This window comes from Homo sapiens, chromosome 9 (genome assembly GCF_000001405.40).
Source record: "Homo sapiens chromosome 9, GRCh38.p14 Primary Assembly".
In the NCBI taxonomy this organism is placed as follows: domain Eukaryota; kingdom Metazoa; phylum Chordata; class Mammalia; order Primates; family Hominidae; genus Homo; species Homo sapiens.
Genome location: NC_000009.12, coordinates 96724615 through 96733621, shown reverse-complemented (window position 1 = coordinate 96733621; position 9007 = coordinate 96724615). Strand labels below are relative to the sequence as shown.

The 9007-nt window shown below is 42.1% G+C and overlaps 1 pseudogene across 1 annotated transcript; it reads right to left on the bottom strand.

Annotated features, from left to right (window-relative positions):
* Positions 1–6154: 6154 nt before the first annotated feature.
* On the bottom strand, positions 6155–7801 carry MKRN10P (makorin ring finger protein 10, pseudogene; annotated as a pseudogene). The gene has a single exon (NR_026792.1). The product of NR_026792.1 is annotated as a makorin ring finger protein 10, pseudogene (transcript).
* Positions 7802–9007: the final 1206 nt, after the last annotated feature.

Here is a 9007-nt window from a genome sequence, read left to right as displayed (position 1 = left end):
GGCATTGCAACAAGAGAGCAAATCAATAAGAAGACAAGGCAAGAAAATCTACAAATATCCTTTATAAATATAGGTGCAAAAGTCCTTAAAATGCTAGTGAGCCATATCCAGCAACATAAAAATAATATAGCACAAACAAGTGAGGTTCATCCCAGGAACTCAAGGTTAGCTGAACGTTCAAAAAACCAATGTAATTCACAATATTAGCTGAATAAAAAAGAAAAACCATATGATTATCTCAGTAGAATCAGAAAAAATATTTGACAAAATTCAATGATGATATTTATCAAAGAATGAAAACAAGATTTCAGCAGACTAGGGAATTTCCACAAACTGATCAGTAGAATCATAAAACATATACAATTAACTTAGTTCACTATATCACAGTGCAGTTTGAATGTTTTCCCTCCAAGATTAGAAACAAGACATGGGGGTGGGCACATTGGCCCATGCCTGTAATCCCAGCACTTTGCGAGGCTGAGGCAGATGGATTACTTGAGGTCAGGAGTTCAAGACCAGCCTGGTCAACATGGCAAAACTCCATCTCTACTAAAAATACAAAATTAGCCAGGCATGGTGGTGGTGCCTGTAATCCCAGCTACTCCAGAGGCTGAGGCAGGAGAATCACTTGAACCAGGAGGCGGAGGTTGCAGTGGCCAAGATTGCACCACTGTACTCCAGCCTGAGCAACACAGTGAGACTCTGTTTCAAAAAAAAAACAAAAACAAAAACAAAAGAAACAAGACATGGATGTCCTCTGTCACCACTTGTAGTCAAAGTTATATTGGTAGTCCTAGCCAATTATTAAAGAAAAAAAAAAAGACATACAGTTGGGAAAGGAAGAAGTAAATATATCTTTATGTATAGATAATTGTGGGCACAAAACATTCTAGGGAACCTCCAAAATATTTACTAGAATAAATAAAATTAGCAAAGTTATAATGAAACATAATGTGGCCAGGCATGGTGGCTCACGCCTGTAATCCCAGCACTTTGGGAGGCCGAGGTGGGTGGACCACCTGAGGTAGGGAGTTTGAGAACAGCCTGGCCAGCATGGTGAAACCCTGTCTCTACTAAACTACAAAAATTAGCTGGGCATGGTGGTGTATGCCTGTAATCCCAGCTACTTGGGAGGCTGAGTCAGGAGAATGGCTTGAACCCAGGAGGCGGAGGTTGCAGTGAGCCGAGATCACACCATAGTCTAGCCTGGGAGACACAGCAAGACTCCGCCTCAAAACAAAATTAAAATTAAACAAAACATAATGTAATATACATAAATCATCTGGAGTTCTACAAACATCCAACAAATAATTAAAAATTAAAATGGTAAAATGCATATTATTTATAATATCAAAATCATGAAACACACGTAACAAAATATGTATAAAACGTATACTGGGCTGGGCACAGTGGCTCACGGCTGTAATCCCAGCACTTTGGGAGGCCGAGGCAGGCCGATAACCTGAGGTCACGAGTTGGAGACCATCCTGGCCAACATGGTGAAACCCCGTCTCTACTAAAAATACAAAAATTAGGCGGGCATGGTGGCCCACACCTCTAATCCCAGGTACTCGGGAGGCCGAGATAGGAGAATCGCTTGAACCCGGGAGTCAGAGGTTGCAGTGAGTGGAGATCACGCCATTGCACTCCAGCCTGGGCGACAGAGGGAGACTTCGTCTCAAAAAAAAAAAAAAAAAAAAAAAGTATACTGAAGGCTACGAATCATTGCAAAAAAAAAAAAAATTAAAGACCTAAATAAAAGGAGGCAAAGGATACCTTAATGGATCAGAAGACTTAATATTGTTAAGATGAAAATCCTCCCTCAGACTACCTCAGACTATTATTAAAATTCAAGACAGCTGGGCACCGTGGCTCATGCCTGTAATCCCAGCACTTTGGGAGGCCAAGGCAAACCAATAGCTTGAGGTCAGGAGTTCAAGACCAGCCTGGTCAACATGGGGAAACCCCATCTCTAATAAAAGTACAAAAAAAGTAGCCAAGCGTGGTGGTACACGCCTGTAATCCCAGCTACTTGGAAGGCTGAGACATGAGAATCGCTTGAACCTAGGAGGCAGAGGTTGCAGGGAGGCGGAGATTGCAGTGAACCAAGATCAAGCCACTGCACTCCAGCCTAGGCAACAAAGCAAGCCTCCATCTCAAAAAAAAAAAAAAAAAAAAAAAAGATTCAAGACAATCTCAACCAGGATTTCAACAAGTTTTTGAGGAAATTAACAATTCTAAAATTTATGTGGAACAACAAAGAATGGTATAATAATCAAAAGAATTTTTAAATGAAGAGCATACTTAAAAGACCAAAACATTCAATAACTTTCCACAAAGCTACGTCGTAAGAAAGATGAGTTACAGACATACAAATCCATTAAACAGAATAGAGTCCAGATATAGAACTACCGACATATGGTCAATTTGTTTTTTACAAAGGTGCCATGGCAGTCCAATGGGAAAATAATAATCCTTCCGGCAAATGGTGCCAATATAATTGGACATCAAGATGTAAAAAAATAACCAAAATTTTATTTCACACTATATAGAAAAATTAACTGTAAATGAACCATAGGCCTACATGTAAAACCTAAAATTTCTTCAGGAAAACATAGGATAAAATCTCAGTGGCCTTGGACAAGGCAAAAATTTATTTAAAAGGACACACAAACCATGAAATAGAAAATAAAAAACAATGACATATTTAAAAACAAATGAAAAACTTTGCTCTTCCGAGACACTATTAAGAAAATAAAGGCCAGGGACAGTGGCTCATGCCTATAATCCCAACACTGGGAGGCTGAGACAGGAGGATCTCTTGAGCCCAGTAGTTCAAGGCTGCAGTGAGCCTTGATCACACCATTGCACTCCAACCTGAGTGACAAAGTGAGACCCTGTTTCAACAACAAAAAAAAAAAAAAAAAAGAAAAGAAAAGAAAGAAAAGAGCAAGCAACCCACGGGGAGAAAACACTAGCAAAATCTTTATCTGATAATGGGCTTGTATCTAGATTATATAAAGAATTCTTTCAACTCAACAAGACAAAAAAAGGGGCTAAATATTTTAACACACTTCTAAAAGTGTGAAACATGAAAAGATGCTCCCCTTCATTAATCATCAGGAAAATACAAATTAAAACCCAATGACACCCACTATAATGTTTCTTTTTTTAAGACAATACAAAATGTTGGTGAGGATGTGGTGCAACTAGAACTATCATACATTGCTAACACACAAGCAAACTGGCAGAGCAACACTGGAAACGCTGGCAGTTTCTGACAGTGTTACACATACACTTACCCATAAGACGGATAATACCTTACTCCTAGGTATTTACACAAGACAAATGAAAACAAATGTCAACACAAAGACTTGTACTCAAGTGGCCATAGCAGCTCTACTCATAATACCCCAAAGGGGACAAAACTTACATGCCCGTCAACTGGTAATGCATAACAAATTGTGGTATATGCATGCAAAGGAACACTACTCAGGAATGAGAAGAATGATATACAAAAAACACATATGAATCTCAAAAGCATTATGCTAAGTGGAAGCAGGAAGAAAAAAGTGTAAATATAATGTATATAAAATTTCTAAGGCAAAACTATTGTGAAAGAAAACAGATCACTGATTGTGAGGGGCTGAGAGGGCGAATGACTGCAAAGGGCTACAAGGAAATCTTTCGGGGTGACGGAAATATTTTGCCATGATTTTGGTAGTGGTAATCACCTATATACATTTCTGAAATTCATCAAATTGTACACTGAAACTTAATAACTTTTATTTTCTGTTAGTCACACCTCAATACAAGTGATTTAAAAATTAAAAGGGAGGGCCGGGTACAGTGGCTCACACTGGTAATCCCAGCACTTTGGGAGGCTGAGGCTGGTGGATCACAAGGTCAGGAGTTCCAGACCAGCCTGGTCAACATGGTGAAACACCATCCCTACTAAAAATACAAAAACTAGCCAGGTGCGGTGGCACGCACCTGTAGTCCCAGCTACTCAGGAGGCTGAGGCAGGAGAATTGCTTGAACCCGGGAGGCGGAGGTTGCAGTGAGCCGAGATCGTGCCACTGCACTCCAGCCTGGGCGACAGAGCGAGACTCTGTCTCAAAAAAGTATATATACAAAAATACAAAAATTAGCTGGGCATGGTGGCGGCCACCTGTAATTCCAGCTACTAGGGAGGCTGAGGCAGGAGAATCACTTGAACCCAGGAGGTGGAGGTTGCAGTGAGCCAAGATTGCACCATTGCACTCCAGCCTGGGCAACAAGAGCAAAACTCTTGTCTCAAAAAAATAAATAAATACATAAAAAGGAGGTGAGAAAGAGAGGAGAAACATAACTGCACTCTGGAGGGAACCCCATGGTAAGCTGTGCTCACCCACTGAGACGAGGTGGCTGTAATTCTCCAGCACCACGTCTCTGTACAGGGTCCTCTCAACAAGGCCCAGGTGCTGCCACTCCTCCTGGGTGAATTCCACAGTCACATCCTGGAATGACTGACGCCTGTAACAGCACATTTCTATACTTGATCTTAGCCAAAAGGCCAAGAAGTGATACAACAGCACATTTCTAATTAATCTGAAGGGTTTAGAAACTGTACTGTGGAAAATGCCTTTGAAAACAAATTTGTATTGTGTTTATTGTTGAGAGTTTAAATGTTATAAAGTACCCTATTATGGCTCTGCCATTGTCTTATGCTTTGGGGTACTCATATAATTGGTACAAATATTATTCTCATGCCCTAATGCATGTATATTTATTTATAAATTATATACATAGACTGTCAGCTAATATACTATGGATAAGATTTAGTGTCTCTGTTTTAGATAAAGTTATTTTAGTTAGGCTTTCTGCCATCTTTCCTACACCTTAGTGGACCATCCTGAGAACTCTCTAGGATATAAAAACCTCATCACAGTTCTCTGCTAGGTTAAGAGGGAACCAACAAAGGATGCATGTAAGCCCTGGAAGTATTACACATGATCAAACTTGTCTTTCAGAAGCAATATTCCAGAAGAGTGGGAATGTCTTAAGGAGCAAAACAGATGAGAACAATCTAACAGATGACCTACATAGAGGTAAAGCAATGAGGTTCAGACTGGGAAGCTAATCCCTGTGAGAGAAGGGAACAACATTTTTCATTATCATTTTTGTGTGCAATTGTACATAGGCTGCATGAGCAAATGGTTAGATGATGATGCTATATACTAAGATAAAAAGAACAAGAAAAAGGAAATGGGTATTTAACATCTGTGAAGATACAGGTGGAATTATATACCGCACCATTGGTTACATGATTTTGGAATACAGAAAGAGGTTTAAAATTGATCCTCAGAGTTAATGCAACCACACACAAAGTCACAGCAAGTTTTGAAGACAGAAAGGTAGACTCTAAAGTTGTAAGCAGCAAAGGACTTAGAATATCCAATACAATTTTGAAAAGGAATAAGCTTGGGAGATTCACATTCTGAATACAAGACTTATTTTAAAGGAATAGTAATCAAGGGGGGCATACTCGCAAAAGGACTGGCACAGATCAACAAAAGAGAATACAGACTCCAGGCCAGGCACAGTGGCTCACACCTATAATCCCAGCACTTTGGGAGGCCTAGGCGGGCAGATCACTTGAGGTCAGGAGTTCAAGACCAGCCTGACCAACATGGTGAAACCCCATCTCTACTAAAAATACAAAAATTAGGTGTGGTGGCAGGTGCCTGTAATCCCAGCTGCTCGGAAGGCTGAGGCAGGAGAATCGTTTCAACCCGGGAGGCGGAGCTTGCAGTGAGCCGAGATCGTGCCAGTGGACTCCAGCCTGGGCAACAGAGGGAGACTCTGTCTCAAAAAAAAAAAAAAAAAAAAAAAAATCCCCAAAAAACAAACAAACAACAACAATGAAAAAAAGAGAATACAGACTCCAGAAACAGAGCCACAAATAATAAAAAGTCAAATGTTTCCAAAAAATGGTGCCAATGCAATTCAATTGAGAACAAATATTAGAACTCTCAGACATAAACAAAAATAAACAACCTTGATATTGCGGGTGAAGGGAGAACTCTGCCTGTACTAGCCCAGGAGAGGGAACAGATAAGGAAAGATTCCCCATTTTGAGGCTGTTTGAGATCACCTGATTTTTTTTTTAATTGTGTTACAAAAAACTAACTTTAAGTTTTAACTGTTTTCAACAGGGAAAATAACACACTCCTCGGGGAAAGGTGAAGGGTTGAGAAGACAGGCCCTGGGTAAAAATTTTTACAACACCTGGAGTTGATAGGCCTACCTAGGAGAGAACACAGGCACTGCCACACCAGCACAGGGGACAGCTGCTGTCTGGGGTCAGCAGACCAGTTCACACGCCACACAAGGTTGCTATAGATCCAAATCATAAAAATCTTCCAGCTCATCATGAAACAAGTCCCACTCATCTTCAGAGTCTGCCAGTTCATCATCCCCACCTGCAGCCAAAAGCATAAGCAACATCTCGCCCACCTCAAGAGGTGACAACCTCTTCATCATTGTCAAAAGGGTTGCTGCTATCTCTTTCCTCAGTGAGTTCTCAGAAGTGGTTCCTTCATTGGACCCAGTTTCTGCTTGATGTTCCCACTTTCTGTCTCTGTGGCTTCTCTGTAAGGCCATCAGGGTACGCATGCTTGTAAAAACAATTCCTTCCAAATGGGCAGCTCCCACGTCCTTCATCAAAATACCTGCAAGCCTTGTTGCTCAATGCCTCCTTGTATTTCTGAATGAGTTTCTGCTTCTCTTCTTTCTCCACCCAGGACTCACTTGGAATGACAAAGTTAGATGTGATCTGGCAATCTAGGCAGGACTTTATAATCTTGCTCTGAAATTGCTTAGCACTGCTCCACTTGCGAATGCACTTGAGACAGTAGGCATGGTTGCAGTTGGAGAGAATCCCGAAGCAGCACTCACTGGGGTTTGCTTTCTCATAGACCACCTCCATGCAGATCCCATACACCACGTCCTTGCTGCGCTGCACAGCAAGTGAGAGCTCCATGTCCTTCTCATGGGCCTCAATGCACAATTTTATATGCTGTGATCTCTGGGCAGCAGCCATGGGATGCAGGACCTGCAGTCCACACATGTCACATGAATCTCCATGGAGAGGCACACAGTTCTCCCCATCTCAGCACTCTCTCACTGCAGCACAGGGGCACAGCTGCTTCTTGGTTTCCACAGCAGTTTTTCTCTTTCTCTGATTCTTCCTTGGTCACTGAGTCCTGCAGAGGTGCTTCAGTGCAGGAAGGCACAGCTGAAAATTTTCAAGAGGGTGGTAAAGGTCCAAACTAATAAGACAGATACATGAACTACAAGGGAACTGAAAATCTAATATAGCCAAAGTAGGGTTGCCCAGGAACAAACTCAATAGCATGCACCCAGTCCTCTGAACCTGCTCCTACAATTGCAAAGTTTGAATTTCTTGACTCAGCTTCACCTGTATTCATTTCAACAAGTGGTCCGACTAACGACAAGAGACTTGAGGAAGCAGCAAGGGATGATATTGTAGTTAGCTCTGTAGCAGCTGCTTCTTCCTGTTTCAATGGCTTGCTATGTTCATATCTGCAGCGGTCTCCATAAATACAGTACCCTCACTGAAAATACTTGCACACTACACCACACGGACTGTCAGAGAGGTCATGGGAGTAGCGACAGTTATCACCTTCCTTACAAACCCCAGCATAAAATACCTGCAGGTGACCTGTTTAATCCAGCTGCCTCCCCTGCTGTCGCTGCCGCCACCCCCTCCGCCCATCCCTGGGGATGGGGTGGTGACCAAGATCAGCTGATTTAGCTGGAATAGGATGGCTGGCTGACTCCACAGGAGAATTTAGAGTGAGAAAGAGAAAATCTGAGTCATCCAAAACATGTGAATTTGCCGTGAATGAGCTTCCACTGTCAGTTGCGTCACACGTAGGCATTGAGGCTACCGATCAGAAAATATAGGAACAGCCTTTCTGCCTTGCAGGCAGGGCTGCTGGCCCTATTCACTCTCTGGCCTTCAGGCAACACCAGAGAGCAGCTCCAGCCAGTTACCATCAATTGCCAGGAGATACTAGAAGCCGGCTGCTGAAAGACTAAAGACAGAATAAACAGGTTTCTCACCTGAACAGAAGGTGGCCATCAGATGCTTCCACATGGACACCGTTTAGTCCCATGGGAGTGTAGCTCCAGCAGGAGACCTAGAGTTGTCTTTGTGCGTAGACACTTGTCCACCAAGGGTCCCAAGTTGGGAAAGGGAAAATAAGAAGGGAGAGTGTTTCCCATAAGGGGAGAGTCCCCCATACAGTCATGCGTGAGTGGCAACTATCTGGGCTGGTGGCACAGGAGTAAAAAGAATTTACCAAGACAGTTGTAGGTAAAGAAAAGCAGATTTATTAGAGAAGGTATGAAAATGCATTGCGAGAAAGCAATGGATTGAATCAGCAAGAGAGAAGCTGACTGCTGGGAGACAAAGACTTGCTGCAGACTTTATAGAATGGAATTTGGGCTGATGGATAACGCAACTGTAGCAGGAAGCTAACTTGCGTTTTTCTGTCTGCTGAGGTGTTTGATGAGAAATTGAAGCATTTGATGATAAGCAGGAAATCTGTCAATTCTATACATTATCTACACAGGAGGGCTATATGTCCTGGGCCATAAGGAGTACAGCAGACTTACAGTTTATCTGCTTTCTATTTTTGTTTCTATGTCCTGGACCAGGAGGAAAGGCAGACCTTATAGCATATCTGCTTTATTTCTTTGCTTTCCCCTGGTCACGCCAGCCACTCCTTTTCCCTAATTAGGACTCCACACTTGATCTATACCTTGTAACAAAAATAACAATGAATTCAAAATGATCACAGAGGGTCAGCCATGGTGGTGGCTCATGCTTATAGTACCAGCATGTTGGGAGGTCAAGATGAGAGAATTGCTTTAGGCCAGGAGATCAAGACCAGCCTGAGCAATGATGTGAGACTCTGTCTCTACAAAAAATTTAAAA